This window comes from Homo sapiens, chromosome 2, assembly GCF_000001405.40.
Source record: "Homo sapiens chromosome 2, GRCh38.p14 Primary Assembly".
Lineage (NCBI taxonomy): Eukaryota > Metazoa > Chordata > Mammalia > Primates > Hominidae > Homo > Homo sapiens.
In genome coordinates this window covers 182,653,939-182,681,409 of record NC_000002.12, presented here as the reverse complement: position 1 = coordinate 182,681,409, position 27,471 = coordinate 182,653,939, and the positions used below count along the sequence as shown (strand labels likewise).

Genomic DNA, 27,471 nt, shown 5'->3' with positions numbered 1-27,471 from the left:
CTTGAGCCCAGGAGTTTGAGGGTGCAATGAACTCTGATTGCAGCACTGCACTCCAGCCTGGGCAACAGAGCAAGACTCTCTCTCTCTAAAATAAATAATTAAATAATTATAAAAGAATTTCCAGCAGTGAAACACATGTGAATTGAAGAGCTAGGCTATATATTGTATCAAACTTCAGTTTTGAGGAAACAGCTGTTATTGAAAATGTATCTCTTGAAGGATCTACATCTCAAAGGCACAAAAAAAAAAAAACAAAAAAAACAGGCCCCAGTGAAGTAGGAGGTAGGACTTGACTCCAGACCAGATTGAAGACTGGCTGAAGAAAGGAAGAGGCACCAAAAGTACCTCTCCTTAAGATACACCCTTCAGCCCCATGACAGTTTATCATTGCCATAGCAACACCTGAAAGTTACTGCCCTTTTCCACGGCAGCAACCTGGAAGTTACCACCCCTTTTCTAGAAATTTCTGAATAATCTCATTAATTTACATGTAATTGAAAGTAGGTATAAATAAGAGTGCAGAAGTATCCCTGAGCTGTTACTGTCTATACACTGCCTATGGGGTAGCCCTGCCCTGCAGGAGCAGTCATGGAGCTGTAATGCTGCTGCCTCAATAAAGCTGTTTTCTTCTACCACTGGTTCACACTTGAATTCTTTCCTGGGTGAAGCCAAGAAACTTCCTGGGCTAAACCCCAACTTTAAGACTTGCCTTCCCTGCATCAAAAGAATTTAAAGCTGTGAAACGTCACAAACTGTGAGAATCCTCCTTGTACCATTTCCTAGTAACTCACAAGCTGCAATCTTTCCTACATACACTTTCACAAGCAAATTTCAGGTCTTTTTTAAGATTAAGTGCCATTTAAAAAATAGTATCTATGTATTTCTTAACTATTTAACATGTATAAAACTATGCTATGCTTTTTATTAAATTCCCATCTTAAAAAAAAGTGTCCCAGCCTGGGCAACTTGGTGAAACTCTGTAATTTTGTACAAAATTTAATTTTTGTAAATTCTGTACAAAAAAAACAAAAATTAGCCAGGCGTGGTGATGCATCCCTGTAGTCCCAGCTACTTGGGAAGCTGAGGTGGGAGGATTGCTTGAGCCCAGGTTGAGGCTGCAGTGAGCTGTAAGCATGCCACTGCACTCTAGCCTAGGTGACAGAGCAAGACCCTGTCTCAAAAAAAAAAAAAAAAGTCGCTGATAAAGTTTTTGAATGTTGACCCCTATATGCCCTGTGGTTTTTATTGTGTGAGTTTACATAATGGCGTAATTTGTAAGAATGGTTATTTGCCACTTTAGCAGAACTGACTGACCATATTTTATCTTGATTCAAAATGCTGCTTTATGTTTTATTATGTTTCTATGTGTACTTTTTCTATTTCTGGGCATTCAATTTTGTTTCACGGTCTGACTACTCATATGCCAATGCCATATTATTTTAATTTTTGAGGCTTGATAATGTTGTAATATCTGGTAGAGGTAGTCCTTCTTCCTCCCATCTTCCCCCTACCCACCATTTCTATATTTCAGGGGTTTCCTGTTCTATTTTGACTTCCCTATCTTTCCATATGCACTTTAGAATCAATTTTATTAGCTCTAGGAAAAAAGTTGTTGATTATTTAAATAAAATCACATTAGATCTGTGAATTAACACAGAAAGAACTGACATCTTTGTGATACTGAGTCTGCTTCTTCATGAAATGGCTCTAGAAATGTGTTCACGTCTATATTTGTGTTTTTTTCAGAAGGGTTTTAATGATCTTTTTCTCACGGAGGATTTTACATTTCCTTTTTTAAAAAGTTTTATCTTATTTGTAATTGACACGTAATAATTGTACATATTTGTGGGTACAGTGTGATGTTTCAATACATGTATACAATGCGTAATGATCAAATTAGGGTAATTAGAGCCCGGTGCGGTGGCTCACGCCTGTAATCTCAGCACTTTGGGAGGCTGAGGCGCGTGGATCACCTGAGGTTAGGATTTCAAGACCAGCCTGGCTAACACGGTGAAACCCCGTCTCTACTAAAAATACAAAAAAAAAAAAAAAAAAAAAATTAGCTGAGCATGGTGGCGGGCGCCTGTAGTCCCACCTACTTGGGAGGCTAAGGCTGGAGAATGACGTTAACCCGGGAGGCGGAGCTTGCAGTGAGCCGAGATTGCACCACTGCACTCCAGCCTGGGCGACTGAGTAAGACTCCGTGTCAAAAAAAAAATAATAATAATAATAATAATAATTTCCAGGCATGGTGGCATGTGCCTGTAGTCCCAGCTACTCAGGAGGCTGAGGCATGAGAATCACTTGAACCCAGGAGGTGGAGGTTGCAGTGAGCCAAGATCACACCACTGCACTCCAGTCTAGGTGACAGAGTGAGACTCTGACTCAAAAAAAAAAAAAAAAAGAGAAACCAAAGTGAGGATAATTAGCATATCCATCATCTCAGAAATGTGACAACATATAAAATTCTCCCTTTAGCTATTATGAAATACACAATATACTGTTAACTATAATTACCATACTGTGCAATGAAACATTAGAAAGTAATCATCTTATTTAACTATGACTTTCTACTTGTTGACCAACCCTCTCCATTCCCTCTCCCCCTCCTCTTCGCAGCCTCTGGTAACCACTACTCTAATCTCTACTTGTATGAGATCAACTTTTTATTAAGTATATTTTTAGCATTTTATATTTTTGCTGTTATAGTAAACAACATCCTAGTTTCCATTATGTCATTTAACTGGTTGTTGTTTTGATAAATTCTATGGATTTCTGTATATTAATTTTATATTCTGCTACCTAAATAATATACCTGAAATCTTATTGTTTGTAGTTGTTTTTCCCATTAATTTTTTTGGCACATGCAGGTATATACCATATAATATGATTTTTATGTTATTAAGCAATGGAAAGCAATTAGGACATTTTTCAATTCACAGGCCCTAAATAGTTTCTCTTTCTTTCTTTCTTTTCTTTCTTTTCTGAGACAGAGCCTTGCTCTTGTCCCCCAGGCTGGAGTGCAATGGCATGATATCGGCTCACTGCAACCTCCACCTCCCAGGTTCAAACGATTCTGCTGCCTCAGCCTCCCGAGTAGCTGGGATTACAGGCGCCCACCACCATGCCTGGCTAATTTTTGTATTTTTAGTAGAGACAGGGTTTTGCCATGTTGGCCAGACTGGTCTCAAACCCCTGACCTCATGATCCGCCTGCCTTGGCCTCCCAAAGTGCTGGGATTACAGGCGTGAGCCACTGCGCCCAGCCATATTTTCTCTTTCTTAATGGCGTTACAACTAATACATCCTATACAATCTGAAATAGTACTTGTGATAGTAGTTTTCCTTCTCTCATTCTTGCCTTTAAAAGGGGTGCTTCTGGTATTTCCTTATTATATGCTCCTGGCTTTTGTGCTGCGATATATTAAGAAAGTTTCTATCTATTCCTATTTTATTGAGTATTTTATTAGGAAGGAGTATAGAATTCCTGGGTTGAACTGAGATTATTTGATAAAATGGGCAGTCAGACATGTACAGAAAAATTGATTTTTGTATATGTTGTAAGGAAGGGGTCCAGTTTCAATCTTCTGCATATGGCTAGCCAGTTATCCCAGCACCATTTATTGAATATGGAGTCCTTTTCCCATTGCTTGTTTTCGTCAGCTTTGTCAAAGATCAGATGGTTGTAGGTGTGTGGCCGTATTTATGGGCTCTCTATTCTGTTCCATTGGTCTATGTGTCTGTGTTTGTACCAGTACCATGCTGTCTGTAGCCCTGTAGCATCGTTTGAAGTCAGGTAGCCTGATGCCTTCAGCATTGTCTTGGGTATTCCGGTTCTTTTTTGGTTCCATATGAATTTTAAGATAGTTTTTGTCTAGCTCTGTGAGGAATGTCATCAGTACTTTGATAGGAATAACATCGAATCATTTGGGCAGAATGGCCATTTTAATGATATTAATTCTTCTTATACATGAACATGGAATGTTTTTCCATTTGTTTGTGTTATCTCTGATTTGTTTGAGCAGTGGTTTGTAATTCTGATTGTGGAACTCTGTCACCTCCCTGGTTAGCTGTATTCCTGGGTATTTTATTCTTTTTATGGCAATTGTGAATGGGAATTGATTTGACTCTCAGCTTGGTTGTTGTTGGTGTATAGGAATGTTAGTGATCTTTGTACATTGATTTTGTATCCTGAAGCTTTGCTGACATTGTTTATCAGCTGCAGGAGCTTTTGGCCAAGACTATGGGGTTTTCTTGATATCAAATCATATTGTCTGCAATCAGGGATAGTTTGACGTCCTGTCTTCCTATTTGGGTACCCTTTATTTCTTTCTCTTGCCTGATTGCGCTGGCCAAGACTTCCAATACTATGTTGAATAGGAGTGGTGAGAGAGCATCCTTGTCTTGTGCCAGTTTTCAAGGGGAATGTTTCCAGCTTTTGCCCATTCAGTATGATGTTGGCTGTGGGTCTGTCATAGATGGCTCTTATTATTCTGAGTTATGTTCCTTCTATACCTAGTTTATTGAAAGTTTTTAACATGAATGGATGTTGAATTCTATTGAAAGCCTTTTCTGCATCTATTGAGATAATCATTTGGTTTTTGTCTTTAGGTCTCTTTATGTGATGAATTACATTTATTGATTTGCATATGTTGAACCAACCTTGCATCTTGGGGAGGAAGCCTACTTGCTCATGGTGGATTAACTTTTTGATGTGCTGCTGGATTCGGCTGGAAAGTATTTTATTGATGATTTTTATATCAATGTTCATTAATGATATTGGCCTGAAATTTTATTTTCTGTTGTGTCTTTGTCAGATTTTGGTATCAGGATGATGCTGGCCTCCCAGTGAGTTGGGGAGGAGTCCCTCCTCTTCAATTTTTGGGATAATTTTAGTAGGTATGGTACCAGCTCTTTTTTGTACATCTGGTAGAATTCGGCTGTGAATCCATCTGGTACTGGCCTTTTTTTTTTTGGTTGGTAGGCTATTTATTACTGATTCAATTTCAGAGCTCATTATTGATCTGTTCAGGGAATCAGTTTCTCCCTGGTTCAGTCTTTGGAGGGTGTATGTGTCCAGAAATCTATCCATCTCACCTAGGTTTTCTAATTTTTGTGTGTAGAGGTGTTTGTAGTAGTTTTTGGTGTTTATTTTTATTTCTGTGAGGTCAGTGGTAATGTCCCGTTTGTCATTTCTAATTGTGTTTATTTGGATCTTCTCTCTTTTCTTCTTTACTAGTTACTTTTTTCAAAAAGCCAACTCCTGGATTCATTTATCTTTTGAATGGTTTTTTTTGGTCTGAATTAAAGACTTAAATGTAAAACCAAAAAGTATAAAAACCTTGGAAGACAACCTAGGCACTACCATCCTGAACATAGTAATGGGCACAGATTTCATGAGAAAGATGCCAAAAGCAATTGCAACAAAAGCAAAAATTGACAAATGAGATCTAATTAAACTAAATAACTTCTGTACAGCAAAAGAAATTATCAACAGAGTAAATGGACAGCCTACAGAATGGGAGAACATTTTTGCAAACTATGCATCTGACAAAGGTCTAATATCCAGCATCTATAAGGAACTTAAACAAATTACAAGAGAAAAACAACCCCATTAACAAGTGGGCAAAAAACATGAACAGACACTTCTCAGAAGAAGACATGCATGTGATCAACAAGTATATGAAAAAAAGCTCAACATTAGTTATCATTAGGGAAATGCAAATCAAAACTACAATGAGATACCATGTAATACCAGTCAGAATGGCTGTTACTAAAAAGTCAAAAAATAACAGATGCTGGAGAAGTTGCAGAGAAATGGGAAAACTTATACACTGTTGGTGGGAGTGTAAATTAGTTCAACCATTATTGAAAGCAGCATGGCAATTCCTCAAAGACCTAAAAACAGAACTACCATTTGACCCAGCAATCTCATTATTGGGTATACACCCAAAAGAATATAAATCATTCTACCATAAGACACATTCATGTGAATATTCATTGTAGCACTATTCACAATAGGAAAGACATGGAATCAACCTAAATGCCCATCTATGACAGATTGGATAAAGAAAATGTGGTAAATATACACCATAGAATACTATGCAGCCATAAAAAACAATGAGATCATGTCTTTTGCAGGAACATGGATGGAGCTGGAGGCCATTATTATTAGCAAACTAATGTAGGAACAGAAAACCAAATGCTTCATGTTCTCACTTATAAGTGGGAGCTAAATAAGGAGAACTCATGAACACAAAGAAAGGAACAACAAACATTGGGTCCTACTTGAGGGTAGAGGGTGAGAGGAGGGAGAGGAGCAGAAAAAATAACTATTGGGTACTAGGCTTGGTAGCTGGGTGACAAAATAATCTGTACAACAAACACCCATGACACAAGTTTACCTATGTAGCAAACCTGCACATGTACCTCTGAGCCTAAAATAAAAGTTAAATAAATAAATAAAAACATCAAAATTTTTTTGAAAAGAAAATCAAATGGCCCATTAAATCATGGGGTTGCAGCCTAGGGAACTGATTAACATTGCTTGAATACATGTTGTCTGCTGGGATTATTATGCACATTAATAAAATAATTGAAACAAAAAACAAAACAAAAAAGATGTACAGAAGAAAGGTAAGTAGAAAGTATTCCTCTTGAACTTCTTATAAACAGTTGTGAAAATGGAACTTCTTCAGGCACATGACTTTGAATCTACCATTGAATTTGTCTTCTGCCTCACTATGATCAGAGGTGGCAATTCTGAATAGATTAAGAAGGAGTCTGTTTGTGGGACAGGAGTGGGTGGGGTGGTGGGGTATATATATATATATATGTATCTGTGAATGGGATTAATAAATGTGATTCAATATATAATTTTATTTTGTCCTAGGCCCTGCATTCTAAGATTTCATATTGGTAGGGATGATACTGGCTTTTTATTTGCCAGTTCTACATAAACAGCTATCAGATTATTATAAATTTAAGGTAAGAACACAGATTAAATAAATAGCCATTTAATGAGATAATTGGGGAAAAGTTTACTGGAGGCTGGGACCCTGTTTCATTGTGTTTGTCTATGGTACCTAACAGAAGGCACTATGGGCATTTTAATAAATATCAGTGTATAGAAAGGACTGAATCATGAGGCAAGTTTGAAAGCAATGCAACTGCAGTTGGGTCACATAGTGGTTTAGTGTATAGTGTAGCACAGTGTTTTAGTACATAGATTTTTGGTGCCAGATTTAAGTTCAGTTCCTGGCTATACCACTTACTAACAGTGATCATGGTCAAATTCTATACATTTTCTATTCCTTAGCTTTATCATCCATAAAAGCAGGGCTGTTAATTTCTACCTCATATTTTACCATTAGGCTTAAATCAATTCATATATATATATATATATATATATATATATATATGAAGTTATATTACCTATGACATAATAAGTACTCTATAAGAATCACTATTTTTATTGGATGGTAAGTTCTCCCTAGTTTTATGGCTGGATGTTCCTGTTTATGACCACTTTTTAGGGTGATCAGCCTAGAAAATACAGAGGAGCTGATTTGTATAAGCAAGAAATTAGGGTGTTTTTCTTATACTTAAGGTTTCCTATTATAGTATTCTTGGCTTTTATTATATCAGAGCATATATCTTAGAAATTTGGGTTGAATAAGCAACATATTTAAGGCAATTCTATTTAAAGAATTCTGAGATAGTCATGTTTATACATGACTATTTTAATTTATACAAAATTAAAACGAAATCTTAAATGGAATTAGATTACAATATACTAAAAAATTACTTATTTAAAATGTTTAATATTATATTGAAATGCTGCCCCAATATACTACATATTTTAAGTGACGCATTTTCTGAAAAATAATTCTCTCATGATTTTTTATTGTTTAACTTTTCTTAGCATGCTATTGTCTACATCTAGATGTATTGAACTAAAAGGAAGACACCAGTAAAAAGAAGTGGAGTCATATTTCTTACCTCTTTGTGCTTCGTAAGAGGTGCAGAAACACAAGAGATCCATGGAACATTGTCTTTCAACACTTATACCTTTTGATAATAACACATTTATTTTGATTAATTTTAATAACTCACATGTTCAGATGAAGACAATATCAAAACTTGAAATTTTAAGCTCAGCCTAACATATTGATTACAAAGTCATCAATCTGAAACAATCAGAATTATAGAAGTCACCATAGTGGCTTAGGCAATGATATGTTTAAAATGGCATGTGGCTAATGATATAATGGCATATCTTCATTAATATTTGGTAGCAACTGGATTGCCACAAAAACATGTGAGGACCCTTTTTCTGTTGTATTGTCATTCTTTTACACCGGAAAAATTACTCTGCTGTTTTCTAAGAGTCAATCCTGGAGTGACGTGAGTAGCAGAATGCCAAGTCTATGAGTCACGTGATAACTACTGGACATGCACATGAGAATATGACGAGGATGGTGCCTTAGAATGGGGATTCTCAATCTGAGGTAGGAAGACATGATGAGCCACAAAATTCTTATTACACATTAAAATGAAGATTAAGAATTACTGATAGAATTCAGATTTGAAGGGGCATATGGTGTAAGTTTAGCCCAACCAAAGTGGAAATGTTAACAGAAGGACGTGGCAGGCATCCTACAGAGGCAGCTTATCATGAATGCTGCTCAGCTTACTTTCTCAGAGAATCCAGAAGTCACTACAATAGTTGTTACTAACGGCTGGTCAATGTGCTCCAGGAAAGGCTGCCCACATTTGTCTTTTTGATGGCTTCCAGCCAATCAGCTTACCAAAGAAAAGTTAAACAAAACACACTGCTCTCAGATAGTCTATGTGTGTTTTTTCTACCCTGTCTCTTTCTTTTATAAATTCTCTTTTTGTTATATTTGTTGACAACTGTTTAATGACTGACTCTCTTTTATGTCAGTAACCTTTTGTGTGAATACTAACTAAAGGTTTCTGAGTTATTTGTCAACAGTCCAAATTCATGATATCTCACACTTTTGTAATATTGGGCTGGTGAAAAGTAATTGGGGTTTTTGCATTAAAAGTAATGGTAAAGTAACACTATTTTAAGGTGCATACATGCTGTTTTGTCAAGTAAAATATGCTTATATAAAAACATTAACAAATTGATAGTAATATTTTAATGTGTATTTTCTCAACCAATAGGTAACAATGGGAACAATTACCATATAACTATTCAAGTGTTTAACTAGCCAGTATTTTAAAAAATACCTACTACATCCTCAGCATAGTCACTGAAGAAAACTAGGGATCCAAGAAAATCATACCATTTAAAAATAATTGGTAAGTATGCTATTTAGCATGAAAAATTAGTTTGGACACATTAAATGTTCTAGCAATTTAGAGGAGAGGTTTAGCGGGCAGAATTCGAGGAGGAGCTGGAGTAAGGGGAGTATTGCGGGGTGTATGGTCACTAAGAAAGGAGAGGGCATTTTAGAAAGTCACGGCCGGGCACGGTGGCTCAAGCCTGTAATCCCAGCACTTTGGGAGGCCGAGGTGGGCAGATCATGAGGTCAGGAGGTCGAGACCATCCTGGCTAACATGGTGAAACTCTGTCTCTACTAAAAATACAAAAAATTAGCCGGGCGTGGTGGCAGGTGCCTGTAGTACCAGCTACTTGGGAGGCTGAGGTAGGAAAGTGGTGTGAACCTGGGAGGTGTAGCTTGCAGTGAGCTGAGATCGCTCCACTGCACTGCAGCCTGGGCGACAGAGCGAGACTTGTCTCAAAAAAAAAAAAAAAAAGAAAAAGAAAGTCACAACCACCCCACCAGAGCAAAGCTGCAAATGATGCTAGTAAGGAAGGGTCAAGAAATGTACCTATCAGGAAAAATGGGGTTTGTGTAATTTGAGTGCTGGCCACTCAAAAGCGTGATCCAGGCCGGGTGTGGTGGCTCACGCCTGTAATCTCAGCACTTTGGGAGGTTGAGACCGGTGGATCACGAGGTCAGGAAATTGAGACCATCCTAGCTAATGCGGCGAAACCCCGTCTCTACTAAAAATACAAAAAAAAAAAAAAAAAAAAAAATTAGCCAGTCGTGGTGGCAGGCGCCTGTAGTCTGAGCTACTCGGGAGGCTGAGGCAGGAGAATGGCGTGAACCCTGGAGGTGGAGCTTGCAGTGAGCTGAGATCGCGCCACTGCACTCCAGCCTGGGCGACAGAGCGAGAACACCGTCTCAAAAGAAAAAAAAGTGTGATCCATAGACTTGCAGCATAACCATCACCTGGGAGTTTATGAGAAATAGTATGGCTGGGCGCAGTGGCTGGATGCCTGTAATACCAGCACTTTGGGAGGCCAAGGTGGGCGGATCACTTGGGGTCAGGAGTTTGAGACCAACCTGGCCAACATCGTGAAACCCCATCTCTACTAAAAATACAAAAATTAGCTAGGCTTGGTGGTGTACGCCTGTAAAACCAGTTACTCGGGAGGCTGAGGCAGGAGAATCACTTGAACCCAGGAGGCAAAGGTTGCAGTGAGCCGAGATCACACCACTGCACTCCAGCCAGGACGACAGAGCAAGATTCCATCCACCACCCGCCTCCCCTCTAAAAGAAATAGTGACTCTCAGGTTCTACCATAGTCCTACTGAATTAAAACTTCCACATCAACAAGATTTCTCAGGTGATTCTTATGTGCCTTAAAGCTTGAGAAACATTGGTAGGTGATTGGTTTCCCAAATACTGGTCACCACACCAGGACCATTTGGCTAAATAAGAATGTCTGGAGAGCTTGTTAAAAAGAGGCTTCGGCACCCATCACTAGAGATTTTAATTCAATTGGTCTGAAATCCAGGAATATTAACAAGATCCCCCAGGTGATTGTGATGCATCATTGCCCTAGGCCTAGGACAATCTAGCCCAACTTTGACTTGATCTAGTTCTAGATAAATGATTCTCAACCTTGACTGCACATGAGAATAGCTTGGAGAGCTTTTAAAAGCTATTGATAGCTGGGTCTCACTCTGAGATATTCTGATTTACTTGCCCTGTTGTAGAGCTCAGGACTCTATATTAATTTTTCAAGCTTCCTAGGAGTCTTTAGTGTGCAATTAAGGATTGAGAAATACTAGTCCTTGTAAAACAGTTAAATGGTTTAGGTGGGAACAACTGAAGACCTTGGAATTTTTTCTCTAAACAGGTGTAGGGTAAACCCCCTGAGTACCTTTTGATTCAAGAAGCCAAAAAGAGACCCAGAGCCAGCAAACGAGACATGGGGTTGTACTGGGCACTTATATACAGGGAAGAGAGAATCCAGTGGTGGTGGGCTGGACAAGATATCTGCATGGCCCTGTGGCAGTGAGCTGGCCAGGAAAACCAAAACTGCTTGCAAACAGCATGTGGTTTATATAGCATTTTTACTTAACACCATCATCCCTTAATGACCTGCACCTGGCAACCTTCATGTGCTCCAAATGGGCCCGTGTGTGGCCCATGTTCCCATGGGATGCTCCGAGGGCTCAGATGTTCCTAATAGACAAGGAATGAATCTCTGGGTTGGCCACTCCCGGATTCCTTAGCTCAGAACGCACACGCAGGTGCGTCTGCCATATGGGAGCATTTTCAGGGTATGCTTATGTCATTGCTATCAGGGTGTTTACCATACACATGGCGTAAAAGGTGGATTCAAAGGAGAGAGTTAAGAAGTGTGGGAACCACCTATGATAAGGCAGTCAAGAGCTGTGCGAATAGAATGTAAAATACAAGGGATTATAAACAGAATTAATGACGAAAATATGAGTGATGGGGAGTTCATTAAAAATCTTTAATCAGGAAGATGGGAAAGAAATAACATGCTTAATAGGGAAAAATAGCGAAGGTTGCTGTTTTAAAGAAGGGTGAGATCTTAACAAAAGGTAAAGTCAGAGAAGAGACTGAAAATAGAAAACAAAACAAACTTCCAACTTTTAATACATGGAAACTATAGCAAAATTCAACAAATTTTCCTTGACTGGTGGGAATATTTGTTAAAAGATGGGTTAAAAACCCACATCTGGGAACAGTCTTTGACTTTGTCAAAACAATAATTCCCATCACTTTAATTAAGCAACACCTGACCCTACTGGGCTATTGTATTAAAAGTCACACCTAACAAACAAAATGGGCCAAAACAAGTAGTATTCCTTTGTTTTGAGGAATGATCTTTGGAGTCCTGTAAATAGTGTGTCTGGGGTGAGTGAAGGGTCAGTACACTTAATCTTGCCTTATTAAAGGTTATTTGGTCTTTTCAGTCTAGAATAGCTTCTTTGGGGGAAACAGTTAATTCAAAGTTCAACCTTCCTGAAAGGCTGTTTCTCTCCTCTATCAAAGGCCTCTTGAAAGGAAAATGGATATGCTGTGGTCAAGAATAGGCCAAGATAAACATCCAGTACAGCATGATGAGTGGGATTGGAGCACAGGTGCACAGTCCCATGCATTATGTAACCTGTTTGTTAAGCTCATACTTGGCTCTGAGCCACTGTTGTCTGTAAGGAGTGTAACTGCCCTGCTGCCACCGGCTCGCACGAGGCAGGAGAGAGAGAGAGAGTAAAGCTGCTGACTCTGTAAGAGAGAGCCAGAGCTAACCACCTTGCAGGCAGACAGTGGGGAGCCAGGAAATGGTGAGTGCTCCAGGGAGTGCAGCTGTATGCGTTGGGGCAGCAGGAGCCGAAGAGCTGGCTGCTGAGAAGGGCTGTGGCAGGAGCAGGCAGCCGAGACAAAGGCTTGTGCCCAGAGAGAGAATAAAGCCATATTTCACCTGACTGCAGCCCCCTGAGTGTTCTTTCAACTACCTACCAGTCATCCACCAACTCCCCCTTGAACCTCAGTTTGGGCTCAAACCTGACATCTCTCTTCCATTTCCTCCATTTCTAGAGACTGTCTAGGGGTATGCATGTGTGTGTGGCTTACAGTTACTCTTGGTGGCCTCTATTGGTTTTTTTTGCCTTTTTTTCGGTCTCATGCTAGTCTCCACTGAAGTGAAGTTGATTGGTCTGGTCTAATCTTGCAGAGGTATGCTTATAACACTCATCTGTAAGTGCCCTCTGCCTAAGTCCATGGTTCCTACCATTTGTCACTGTTGTGATGTGCCTGCCCCATATCTCCTGTCTTGACTGCAGATCTCTAGTTGTCCAGCATCCTTCTCAGAACCCCTACAAATCCTACGTCTCTGAGCCCTTGGGAATCATAAGTCAGCTGTGGAGAATTGGTGCTACCTCAGGCTACTCTTAAATACTCACTGCTCTCTGATCATGGACTAATACCTCTCAGCCATGCTATACTGAGAAGGACAGAGCAGCCTCCCAGATAATTTTGGATTCCTTCTCCACCCATTTAGGAATCTCTTTTCCCTTTGACTGAAGTCCATGGGTTGGGAAGGGTGTTGCATCTTCATCAGCACCATCCCACTTCCCTCCTTCAATCCTTTCCCTTAGCAGACTCTAATATCTCTGGTGGGACTTCCTTGATATTATATCTCAAGTATTCTTTACACTATGGCTTCTAATAAAGCCCTATTTTCAGATCCCAAGGGTTTACTTTTCATTTGAAAGAAAGAGATTTTGGAACTTATAAAATCTCTCATTTTGGGTTGCAGTTTTGGAAGTTGAACATTGACATTGTTCTGTCTTTTCCAGATATAGCAATTCTAATCCCTCTGTGACAGAATCTCTTCTGTTTGGACTGTTGACTCACAAAGCCTAAAATATTTACAATCTGGTCCTTTACAGAAAATGTTTGTTGACTTCACATGTGCAGAAAGGAATCTAAAAGTTTAGGACTCCAAAGACTTCGAACAGGAATGATTTGTTATATGGGTGCTGTGTCCCTCTACCCTCAACTGTATTGTCTGAGGAGACTCAGAGGATACTCCCTTGAAAGCAGTGAGAAACACATTAGTGAGGGGAACACCCACACTCTGAAGAGCACTGTAGTGGCTCTCATATGTAAGCCACATATGATGGTGGGAAATACCACCATTGTGATGGGTTCCCTGATTCCAATAGGGATGATGGGACCCTGAAAGAGCAGAGGCCAATGGACAATACTTAACTGCCAAAGATAAAGCAGCCATATTTGTTATAAAGGCTGGCAGATTCTGATTACTGTAAAGGTAATCAGACTATTTAGACCTGCAGGAATTTTTGGTAGTGACTAATTGACCATGTGGTTACCAGAAATGAAAATGATGAGCAGCCTACTAAAAAGCTGCTTAATTTATAAAACAGAAACTGCAGGTCTGGTGGCTAAAAACCTGACTTGAGCCACCTAGTGGAGAGTGATGGATTTCTACCTACTTTTTAGAGCTAAACCAGTTCACAGGTTAGAACCCCCTGATTCAAGGGGAGGCCAGGTTCTTTTGAAGAAGGATGCTACAGCAGAACCAAATATAGAATGTAAAATTTCCCCTGATTCTTTCCCAAAGGGTGACTTACTAGCAGGACTGTGCACTGGGAAAAAGGAAGTACCTAGACCGTGACTGTGTACTGGGAAAAAGGAAATACCCAGACTATTCAGATATTCCTAGACACTTAATATGAACTGATGCTATTCCTGGGCACTCCAAACCTGCTATACTGTACCAGTCAAATGGGAGCTTATGGTGGCCAGGTGATAGACAAAGGCTTAGATAGAGGTAGAAGTTAGCTGGTAATTTCTTCCCTGGTTCCTGAATGTAGAGTTGCAATAGACATACTTGGCAATTGGCAAAATCTCTGTTTCTTGCTACCTTGTCAAGCTTTACCCTTTTGAGTATGTTATTGTCTATAATTTTTTTTTTTTTTTGAGACAGAGTTTTACTGTTGTTTCCTAGGCTGGAGTGCAATGGCATGATCTCAGCTCACTGCAACCTCTGCCTCCCGGGTTCAAGCGATTCTCCTGCATCAGCCTCCTGAGTAGCTGGGATTACAGGCATGCGCCACCACACCCGGCTAATTTTGTATTGATGGGGTTTCACCATGTTGGTCAGGCTGGTCTCGAACTCCTGATCTCAGGTAATCCACCCACCTTGGCCTCCCAAAGTGCTGGGATTACAGACGTGAGCCACCACACCCAGCCCCTTGTCTATGATTTTTTAAAACATGTAGTAATCTTTAATTCGTTAAGCCAAATTTATGTGTGTTTATTAATTTAAGCATGTACATTTTTTGAGGGGTGATTTTTTAAAATTTAATTTTAATTTTAAGTTCTGGGTTACATGTGCAGGATGTGCAGGTTTGTTACTTAGGTAAGCATGTGACATGGTGGTTTGCTGCACCTATCAACCCATCACCTAGGAATTAAGCCTTGCATGCATTAGCTATTTATCCTGATGCTCTCCCTCCCTGCTGACAGGCCTCAGTGTATGTTGTTCACCTCCCTGTGTCCATGCGTTCTTATTGTTCAGCTCCTATTTATAAGTGAGAACATGGGGTGTTTCCTTTTCTGTTCCTGTGTTGGTTTGCTGAGAATGATGACTTCCAGCTCTATCCATGTTCCTGCAAAAGACATGATTTCATTCCTTTTTATGGCTGCATAGTATTCTATGGTGTATATGTACCACACTTTCTTTATCCAGTCTATCATTAATGGGCGTTTGGGTTGATTCCATGTCTTTGCTATTGTAAATAGTGCTGCAATAAACATATGTGTGCATGTATCTTTATAATGGAGTGATTTATATTCCTTTGGATATATGCCCAGTAATGGAATTGCTGGGTCAAATGATATTTCTGGTTCTAGATCTTTGAGGAATCGTCACGCTGTCTTACACAATAGTTGAACTAATTTACATTCCCACCAACAGTGTAAAAGCATTCCTATTTCTCCACAGCCTCACAAGCATCTGTTGTTTCCTGACTTTTTAATAATTGCCATTCTGACTGCTGTGAGATGGTATCTCATTGTGGTTTTGATTTGCATTTCTCTAATGATCAGTGATGTCAAATTTTTTTTCATATGGTTGTTGGCCACATAAATGTCTTCTGAGAAGGGTCTGTTCATGTCCTTTGTCCACTTTTTGATGGGGTTATTTCTTTTTTTCCTGTAAATTTGTTTAAATTCCTTGTAGCTTCTGAATATTAGGACTTTGTCAGATTCCAAAAATTTTCTTCCATTCTGTAGGTTGCCTGTTCACTATGATGATAGTTTCTTTTGCTCTGCAGAAGCTCTTTAGTTTAATTAGGACCCATTGTCAATTTTTGTTTTTGTAAGCATGTACATTTTTTATGACAAGAAAACTTCTGAAGTCTTTTTTACTGAAAAGTTAAAAGTGAAACAAAAAATCTAGTTTATTGTAGTATTTTATCAATTGTCTATATGTTTATAATTTTTCATAGCAAAACCGTTTGGAGAAAACAAAGTTTGATTTGATTAAAAATTTTCAAGAACATTGTTTATAAACTTTAAAAGAAGATGTCCTAACAACTACCCTTGACAACAACTATTGTGTATTTTGAATTTACTTTTTTTGAGAAAAATAATTGTGCCACATGCCATTATTGTAATATGTATTGTTTTAAGCCCGAGAATGAAAAAGAGATACTATTATTTGACTTACGTATCTCTTTAGAATAATTTCAAAACAGAAATCACTTTGGCTAGCACTTTCTTGGTATCATGAAGCCTTTGATATTTTTGATCCAGAAGTTCCATGGATCCAAGTGCATTCATTAATTAGAACTCATTTTAGGGTAGGGATATTTCTTTCTGCCAGACACCTGGTTATTTAGATGGGCAATGGTGTCTTTCTCTTAAATGTTAAACTCAATCACATTCCCTCCTTCCTTCCTCTTCAAACCAAAGGAACCACTATTCTGTATTTGGTACTTAGCATTTTAAGCCAAATGCGTTGTCATTATTTTAATCACATTTGTATTCATCCCATAACAAGATAGTGGAGTTTCAAAACTTCAAATAAATATTAGTACTTTAGTTATCCTTCTGCCACTGTGAGGCTTTCCTATTTTAGTACATGTGGTTCTGTGTTACTCTTTTTATAGCCATGTGGTTTTCCAAAGTATAAATATACCACAAATTACATACCTATTCTGTCATTGATGGGCATTTATATTGTATCCAAATGTTTTGCAAGTAATGTTTGTATAATAATCCATGGTCATATTTGCAAAAATTTCTTTGGCAGCAGAACTGCAAGTTATTGGATCTGTGCATCTTTGACTTTATCAGATGTTCTCAAATTGTTCTCCAAAGTGATTTGCACCAAACTATACACTGGTTTACTATTAATTGATTTTTAAATTTTTATTTATTGGATGGATGTGTAAAAATTCTCACTGTAGCTTTCATTAGTGTTTCCTTCATTACTAGTAAAGTCAACTACTTTTTCCAATTTTTGCCCATTATTCTTTTGGACTGTTTTTCTTACCAAAGTTTTTTAAAAAATACATTTGGGATATTAATCATTTGCTATATAAAAGGGTTTCAGATAAGTTTTCTTAGTCTATGTCTGATCTTTTCACTTTAGAAAATGGGGACTCTTAATGTTCAAAAATTTTAAATTTTTATAAGTTACTTTCTTATGGTTTATTTTAGGAGATCTTGCAGACCGTTTTTCTTTTTTTTTTTAACTTTTAAGTTCAGGGGTACATGTGAAGGTTTGTTATACAGGTAAACTTGTGTCATGCGGGTTTGTTGTACAGATTATTTTGTCACTCACGTACTAAGCCTGGTACTCATTAGTTATTTTTCCTGATTCTCTCCCTCCTCCCACTTTCCTCTCTCCAGTAGGCCCCAGTGTCTGTTGTTCCCTTCTATGTGTCCGTGTGTTCTCAACATTTAGCTCCCACTTATAAGTGAGAACATGAGGTATTTGGTTTTCTGTTCCTGCATTAGTATGCTAAGGATAATGGCCTCCAGCTCCATGCATGTTCCTGCAAAGGACATGATCTAATTCATTTTTATGACTGCATAGTATTCTGTAGTATATATGTACCACATTTTCTTATCCAGTTTACCATAGATAGGCATTAAGGTTGTTTCCATGTCTTTGCTATTATTAATAGTGCTGCAATGAACAATTGCATGAATGTGTCTTTATGATAGAACTATTTATATTCCTTTGGGTATATACCCAGTAATGGAATTGCTGGCTTGAATGGTTTTTCTGTCTTTGAGGAATTGCCACACTGCTATCAACAATGATTGAACTAAATTACACTCCCACCAACAATGTATAAGTGTTCCTTTTTCTCTGCAACCTTGCCAGTGTCTATTATTTTTTGGCTTTTTAGTAATAGCCATTCTAACTGGTGTTAGATGGTATTTCATTGTGATTTTGATTTGCATTTCTCTATTGATCGGTAATGTTGACCTTTTTTTCATATGGTCATTGGCTGCATAAATGTCTTCATTTGAGAAGTGTTTGTTTATGTCTTTTGTCCACTTTTTAATGGGGTGGTGTGTTTTTCTCTTGTCAATTTGTTTCAGTTCCTTATAGTTGCTGGATATTAGACCTCTGTCAGATGCATAGTTTGCAAAATTTTTCTCCCATTCTCTAGGTTGTCCGTTTACTTTGATGATAATTTATTTTGCTGTGCAGAAACTCTTAATTTTAATTAGATCCTATTTGTCAATTTTTGCTTTTGTTGCAGTTGCTTTGGTATCTTCATCATGAAATCTTTGACTGTTTCTATGTCCAGAATGGTATTGCCTAGGTTGTCTTCCAGGGCTTTTAGAGTTTTACATTTAGGCCTTTAATCCATCTTGAGTTGATTTTTGTATATGATGTAAGGAAGGGTCCAGTTTCAATCTCCTGCATATAGCTGGCCAGTTATTCCAGCACCAATTATCGAATAGGGAGTCCTTTCCCCACTGCTTGTTTTTGTCAACTTTGTCAAAGATCAGACAGTTGTAGGTGTGCAGGCTTATTTCTGCGCTCTCTATTCTGTTTCATTGGTCTATGTGTCTGTTTTTGTACCAGTACTGTGCTGTTTTGGTTACTGTAGCCCTGTAGAATAGTTTGAAGCAGGGTAGTGTGATGCCTCCAGCTTTGTTCCTTTTGCTTAGGATTGTCGTGGCTATTCGGGAAAAAGTTTTTTTTTGTTTTTTTTTTCTTTTTTTTTTCAATTTTTAAGCTCTCCTATATAAAAATTTCCTTTTAATATGTAGGTTTTTTAGTTATCTTGAGATAACTGGAAAACCAGTTATTAACAAACTTTTTTTTGGATATTTCAACTTCTCTTTATGGTGCAATATCAAGTTTCTCAATACATACCTGTTTTTGGTTCTTTCTTCTGTTCTATTTATCTACTTCTGAGGTCATAGTATACCATTTAAACTGTATTATAAGTCTTCATGTTAGGTAGGGTAAGCCCCCTCTCCCCTATCATATTTTTTGTAGTTTTTTTCAAAATGGTTTTGGCTATTAGTGGCCCTTTGATTTTTTTCATATAAATTTTAGAATCAGCTGGTCGAATTAGTAAAATTTTCTTTGGATTTTTAGTTGAAACTGTATCAGTTTTAAAGATTAATTTGGGCAGAATGTGTGTCTTTATGTGAATTGGTCTCCTTTAATGTAATTCCGTAAAGTCTTACAATGTCTCACATATCCTTTGCTACATTTATTTCTAGGTACCTGACATTTTCGTTGCTATTATTACAAAGGATATTTCTTAAAATTATATTATACAGCTATTTATTGCTAGTTTAGGAATATATTTGGTACATTACATCCAACCATTACATCCAATTAACTGTAATAATTTGTCTATAGTTTCTTGTAGGATTATTTTGTAGGTGGTCACATTGTCTGATAATAATGTCAATTTTTATTTCCCTCGTTTCCAGCCGTTCCATATTTTTATTTTTTCTTGTTTAGCTTCATGGTTAGGACAACCTCTAGAACCACATCAAATAGTGTAGTGATGGGGGTTACTCTGTTTCTGCTTTTAATGGCAATGTTTCTAACAGTTCACCATTAACTGTAGTCTTTGCTTGTAATCAGTGGTTGAGAATTTGTCTTTGATTCTAGCACCTAACCTGGTATCTGATATATAGAAGGTGCCCACTGAATAATTATTGATTTAAATTCTATTATTCTTTCTAGTATATGGGCATATATTAGGTAAGAGCATTTCTGTCAGGCATAAAAATCTCAGAAAATTATACACCTAAATGCACAGTGATTAAAGTTTGCAATCTGGTGTAGCATCTTAAATTATCCAGAGGATATGTCAACTTGAATATTTAAGAATCTTTTTAATCTCTGTGATAAACAGGAAGAAGTTACTCTGCAACTGAGGAGAATTGATTTATGACAAAACTGTCGTTTTTAAACATCTGTTAATGTCAACTCACTAGGCGTAAACATTCAAATGTCAAACATGTCATTCAGAAGCTATGTTTTTGTGTATGCCTTCTTCAAAAACAAAAACCAATACTAGGCATTTGGAGAGGGAAGTCAGATTCCACAGTTCTGCTACTGTCTTAGTTTTCTATTGCTATGTAACAAATTATCACAAAGTGAGAAGCTTATAACACTGCTAATTTATTATCCCAGGGTTTCCAGGGCGAGGAGTCTGGGTACGGGTTAGCTGAACTCTCTGTTTGAGTCTTAAGGGCCGCAATCCCAGTGCCAGCTTCGCTGTGGTTCTTATCTGGGTTTAGGGACCTTTTACAAGTTCGTTCAGGTTGTTGGCAGATTTTAATTTCTTGCAGCTCCAGGACCGATGTCCATGTTTTCTTTCTAGCTGTTGTCTGGGCACCTCTCTAAGCAATTGAAGGCCACCCCTCTCTGTAGACAGCTTGCAACATGGCTACAGTATTTGCTTTCCTTCTCTTAAGCCAACCAGAGAAAATTCTTGCTTTGAAGGGATCACCTGATTAGGTCAGAACAACTAAGGTAACCTACCTTTTGATTTACTCAGTTAACAGATTTGGGACCTTGATTATAGCTGCAAAATCTCTTTTGTCATGCAATGTAACAATCACTGGAGTGAAATCTTATATTCATAGGTTCTCCCCACACACAAGGGAATAGGGTTATACAGGATGAGGGGCAATGGGATCATTTTAGGATTCCAATTATCACAGATCCTGCATATATGCAGAGTGTCACTCTCCTCTTTCTTCCACTCTCTCAGAGAAGCATTTTCTTTCTTGTTTCATGGCATCATCTTAAGGTGTCAATGAATCTTTCTCTTTTCTAAATATTTGCATATACCTTAAGCTGCCAAATGCCTTACATTGATAGTATGGTTTCAGCCTCATTTCTTAGATAAGGCTGGGGACCATCTTTTTCATGTGCCCTTCAGTAGCTGGATAATTTATGAATTTTAATCCAAGAGCTTCTGAGTTTCACTGGTTTACAGCTGATGTTTCAGTTATATTCAAAGCCACATGTATACACACACATCCAGCCATGCCCATGATATATTTGGTAACTTATTGTAAAGTTTTACTAATGTCTTGCTGTTAGTCAGCAATAATTTCTGGTATAATTTTATTCTTTTGCAGTTTGAATATGTTAGAGTGTTTACAAAATTATGACAGCATTAGAGAATCCTAAAGTGACAGAAAAAACATTTTCATAGTATTTTGTTTTACCTTTGAGATGTGGTTTTTATTATTAATACTTACATTTCTGTTTATTAGTAATACCTACATTTATAGTTTACAAGGCATCATGCTACATAAGTATCTCATAATGCTTAGCAGCGATGTTGTAAGTGAGGAAAGGAATACCAAGGTTGGTGATTCCTCAAATTATGCAGGTAGAATTGGGTAGAACTGGGAATCCAACCAAGGAATTTTGAGTTCAAGCTCTTTCATATAACCTTTTCACTACCATATGAGTAGAAAGAGTTTATAAATATATCTCATGTTTTCATAAAATAATAGAGACATAACTTTATAGAATTGGAGGGATATCATCTTATTTTGTGCAACTCTGAACTCATTTCAAAGAATGACTATTTCATTTACCTCAAGATTTATGTACAACTCTTTATGAATTGGTTTTATTTCTATTATGCCCTATCATTTATGTTTGGCATATGATTCTTGTCTGCTTCATGTTTTCCTTGTATTTTTATGAGGCTGTAAATCTTATTTATAAAGGGAACAAATGTAAAATAGTCCAGTTAACAGATTTATTCAAGGATTTCTCAGCCTTTCACACTTAGACTATTCCTTAACAACATTTCATTGTCTAGAGACAAATTTCCTAAGAAAGAATGAAAAAATATTCAGAATAGAAATATTCATGAGGTTTGGAGATTGATGAAGACATTCTGCTTGGCAAGAGGCTTTTGTTAAGTAGATGGAACTTACAAATAGAGAGATGGATGGTATAAGTGGGTCGATATCAGGTAACTTTTAAAATTTAATTATTTTAAATAGGTAATATAGGCAGATTATAAATTCAAATAGGTAAAAAGAGTGTAGTAAGAAATGAGTTTTTCTTTCAATTCCGTGTTCCAGTCCCTGTCAATAGTATGATGGCTTGCAGTGAGAATTTGCAGAAATTTCACCCTTTTTCAAAATGGGAAAAAAGATTTGCCAGTGTTTGAAAGTAATGGAATTTAAGAAGGAGTGGGAAATGGCAGTAAAGTGCACTTGTATGCATACAAAGAGAAACTTCTGGACATCTCATATCCAAAAGAATTTTGCCCTTGAACTGATAAAATGTTGAATGACTGAGAGAACTTATACTATTTGTGTACATGATTGCTATATTCAGCACAAAATGACAAACATTTCTCACTTATTGAGCTGCTTCTACCATGTTCTTGTTACGCTTATTAATAGAGTACCACTCCTTCAATCATCTTTACTTGGGTTAGTCTCTCAGTTACACTGTGGAATCCACCTATGCTATGTCATTATAGAATCACGATGCTGTGGGTAGAACTGCATCACTTAAAAAGATACGTTGAAGTGCAAACCTCTGGAACTTGTGAATGTGACCTTAGTTTTGAAACAGCATCTTCGCACATATAATCAAATTAAGATGAGGTTAAGATTGGAGTAGGCTCTAAATATAATGACCAGTGTCCTTCTAATAAGGCCATATGAGGGCAAAGGTGCACACAGAAAAATACCATATGATGGCTGGGACAGAGATTGGAGTGTTACAATTGCAAGGCAAGGAACATCAGGGACTGCCAGTGATCACCAGAATCTAGGAGAAAATCATGGAAGAGATTCATATGTAGAGCCTTCAAAGGAAACCAGCCTTGCTGATTCTTTGACTTTGGACGTCTAGCCTCTAGAAATGGGAGAATATTTTTCTGATATTTTAAGCCATGTAGTTTGTGGTACTTTGTTATGGCAGCCCTAGGAAACTAACACAGGAGGAAAGGCAGGAAGAAAAGTTTTTTTGTTTTTTTTTTTTTTTTTTTTTTTTTACTGAGAAGCTGTTTATGTGCTAGGTACTATGCGATACACACATTATGTCATTACTGTTCTTCTCACAACTGCCTTGCAGGGTAGATATTATTCCCATTTTATAGCTACAAAACCTCAGGCTGAGTAGTCTTAAATAAGTTTTCCAAAGTTACACAGTAAATGGTCTCTATCTGATACAGAAGCCATTATAACACATTATTGCTGATGATCTCTCATCTACAAAGGGACAGCTAAACTTAGAGATGTTTTTAGCCACCTGGGGCTTCCCACATGGTTGATTTTAGGAGAATTGGAAGCAAAAAATATACCTCCTACTAATGTCTAAAATTTCACTATTTTTCATTATTAATATTTATTTTTACAATGTAAATATTCCTAGAAGAAATAGCATATGCCCATGGAAACATAAATTTATCAGGTGTTTTTGTTATTTTTCTCTGATGTCACAGAAGCTCTACAGCTTAAGACCGTTGGATACATGATGAAAAGATGGGCATGGATTAGTGAAAGGTATAGAAAGAGAAGGTAGAGTAGCAATATAAAATAAATCCTGCCCACTTAGGATTTTGCTAAGGTCTGGCAAGTATTTTTTATATATTTGTTTATCCTTAATCACTTTTGTTGTTAGGGCTGACATCATCTTCACTGGAGATTTATATTTGTAATAGTGTTAAATATAAGGACTAAGTTGGAATATTTGGTAGAGGTAGGACAATAAAATGTATGTCTGACACATTACTTGGCTCAAGCAACTATTTGATATTCTAAATGCGGTTGAAAAAATTTAACGTAATATAGTTGTGTTGTTTGTTTTGGGTTTTTTTTGAGACGGAGTCTCGATCTGTCACCAGGCTGGAGTGCAGTGGCGCGACCTTGGCTCACTGCAACCTCCACCTCCCGGGTTCAAGCGATTCTCCTGCCTCAGCCTCGCAAGTAGCTGGGACTATAGGCATGCACCACCAAGCCAAGCTAATTTTTGCATTTTTAGTAGAGAGGGGGTTTCACCATGTTGGCTAGGATGGTCTTGATTTCTTGACCTTGTGATCTGCCCACCTTGGCCTCCCAAAGTGCTGGGATTACAGGCATGAGCCACCGCACCTGGCCAGTTGTGTTTTATTCTGCATATAATACATTTTTACTGTAAGGAATTTAGAAAACATAGATAAGAGAAAAGAAGAAAATGACTAATCACACCATCCTAAGTCTGGCCAAGCTCTATTTCAGTATGTGTTTTCAGGATCTATTGTATGAATACTTAAAAATTAAATGAGATAATACCAGCATGTAGTTTTGAACTATTGGAAAGTTTTCAAATAAAATAAAAATAAATGAAGGAATACAAATATGGTATGCCTAATACAGTTTAATGATTATTTGAATTTCTGCAAATAGGCTTTTCTTGTTTTAGGTACAGCTACTCATTGAAGACTAAGTAAAAGGACATTTTAAAGATTCGTTTCCATTTTCTGCAGAACTTAAAATCTCATCCCAGGGCTCAGAGTAGAGTCTGTCTTACTTTATTGGTCATCAGTCCATATTCCTGATACCTCATCCAGTATAGCTAAGTGATGAAAGTGATGATTTTCTTTTGCTCTTCCCATCTTTCCATTTTTATAGTTTCAAAGTGAAATTATCATAGAATGTGCATTATAGCTAAATCACAAGTTGGCTGCTTGACAAAAGTAAGATAGAGTCAAACCACTCAGATTTTTAGAGGTTTTGATTGTAATGAATGTTATTTTCATTACTATCAAATATAGATCTATACTTCATTTCTAAATCTGTACTTCATGTGTCTCAGAGGTCTTTTGGAAGAAAACTGATGTGTTGGTGCTCAGTGGAATGATGAGAACTCCTGGGGTAATGTGGTATCATGATGGCTAAGAATCTTACCTGTAGTGGATTGCACTTGCAACAGGTAGAAGGTAAAATACTGGCAGCTACAGTAATAGAATGATGTGGGGGAAATAATGACTGTATAATTGTCTGGCCTTTGCTAACTGCTTTAAAAGGCTTGATGAAGGACAACCACAGGGTCAGGTCAGCCAACCATCAATCAGGACACTGTGAAACCCAGCAGGCCTTCAAGGCAGTTTTTGAAGTGATCTTTATCTCCTGCAGCCAGAGAATAGATTGGGACTGGAATTTAATTGTGACAGTGGTCAAGTTGCAAAGGAGATGGAGTGAGAAGCCTTGGCAGGTTTCCTAAATTAGATTCAGGGCTCAGATCACGGAAACTTGAGAACTGGAATGAAGACATTTGGTGGATGTGCCAGAGAATTTTGAACCCTTTATTCTCCTGTGCTGTCAGAGGTGACCCCCACCTACTGGCTAGAGGAGAGTATCCTCTCCTTGCCGGGGAAAAAGAAAACTCTCCTGAAAGACCTCAACACAGGCAAATGCCTTGCAAAATAATGCATGTTTTCCTTCCTTCTCTCATTGTCTAGAGGCTAGAAATAAGGGTCAAATCTGAGCATTCCTTGAGGAGAAAAGTCTGGGAGGAATAGTTTACTCTTTAAAGGATGGCAGGATCTGGATAGGCTGTACCAACAGGAACTAGGTATGCAGGTGTGGAAATAGATCTTGTGGCCATTAGCCAGGGGCTTGGTGCAGAATATAAGGCTGGTAAGTGGAGAGTTTATTGACTTGGGTTCACCTTCCCATGACTCAAGATTTAACATCCTAGTGAAAACACCTGGAGTCCATCATAATGCCCTGCTAGGATGGCTCTTTGAAGCTAGTTAGAGAAGCCAGAACCTTTAGACAGAGTATTGAGGAATGGAGTTAGAAGCTCAGGGAAGTGGGCATGTTAGAATGGATTTATTATGGGAGACTAGAAAACTCTCATTCCTGCCTCTGTTCCCGGGGAGAGCCCTGATGACACTTCATTCACTAAAGCAATAAGGAATGCACCTTGAGGCAGACATTGGCATCTTCGAGAAGCTCTGTAGTTACTATCCTCTTTACGCTATGGTTGAGAGTTGGGGATTGGCATCTGTGGTTGCCTAGACAAAATAGGAATGATAGGATTCCAGAATTTCTGAGGCCAAATGGTGGTACCTTAGACAGGACAAATGAGCAAAAAGGCCAGATGAATAACCAGGAGGCCTTGACCCACTGGGACCTGTGGCAAGTGTTCATACATCATGGTGTTCCCAATAGAAGAGACATGGAAAGCCCATTAGAGGTACAGCTTGTTAACATCAAGAAATGGAAAAAAAAGAGTTGTGAACAGAAGACTGATGTCAGATGGGATGGTGGACAATGAATAGATTCCAGACTGAGCTAGAGAGATCTGAGCTAGTTCACAGAGCCAGAGCCCATTCATTGAAGGGAAGGCTAGGTTCACTTGAGGAGGGACCCTGAGAGGTTACTTCATGTGTATGCCATAAATATGTCTCCATTCCTGCCCCAAAAGGACTTAAAGCATATATCAGATTACATGTTGAAAAAAGGCCTTTCAAAGGGCTTTGGATAAATTATCTGAGCTGGCACTTAAAATAGGGGACATTTTAAACAGGAATATTACTATGATCCCTAGTTAAAGTGACACCTTGGAAGAGCAGATGCTAAATGGAGTCCTGACCTAAATATATCTTACAGTGAGTCCAGCTCCCAACACCAAGAAACAGAATCCCAAGTGAAACTGCAACCTGGGAGAAATTGCAGAGGTTAGTGCTACTCCCAAAGACTTAAAGAATGCAGGGTTGCTTCCAACACATTATTTTTCAATTAACCTGTTTGACCCAAGCAACAACAACATGAATTTTGGTAGACGGTGGTGGACTACCACAAACTTAACCAAGTGGTGGGTGCAACTGCAGTGGTGTCAGGTATTTTATTTCCATTAGAATCAACTAATATAGCCTCTGGTACTTGGTATTGATCTAACAAATGCAGTTTTCAATCTCTATCAATCAAGAGTTTCATAATTAATTCACTTTTATGTTAGATGGACAGTAGTATACAGTCACTATTTTCCACAGGTATTATTAACACTCTTATAGTCTATAAAAATATAGTCTGTGGGGACTCTGATTATTTTAATATTTCACAGATCATTTCATTTGTCCACTACATTGATGCCATTGTGCCAACTGGTCCATGT

General features: G+C 37.9%; 1 protein-coding gene and 1 long non-coding RNA gene across 2 annotated transcripts in view; both read left to right on the top strand.

The window, feature by feature from the left end:
• LOC101929976 (uncharacterized) overlaps nucleotides 1-14,860 on the top strand; it is a 48,061-nt gene extending 33,201 nt beyond the window's left edge. The window contains exons 3-7 of the long non-coding RNA XR_427200.3: nucleotides 6,892-6,986; nucleotides 7,924-8,020; nucleotides 8,388-8,509; nucleotides 9,192-9,329; nucleotides 14,830-14,860. This is a non-coding gene — a long non-coding RNA (uncharacterized LOC101929976). The remainder of the gene's footprint in view (nucleotides 1-6,891; nucleotides 6,987-7,923; nucleotides 8,021-8,387; nucleotides 8,510-9,191; nucleotides 9,330-14,829) is intronic.
• The window catches only part of PDE1A (phosphodiesterase 1A), a 576,757-nt gene that overhangs the window by 35,388 nt on the left and 513,898 nt on the right, over nucleotides 1-27,471 (top strand). The gene's annotated exons all lie outside the window — the stretch shown is intronic.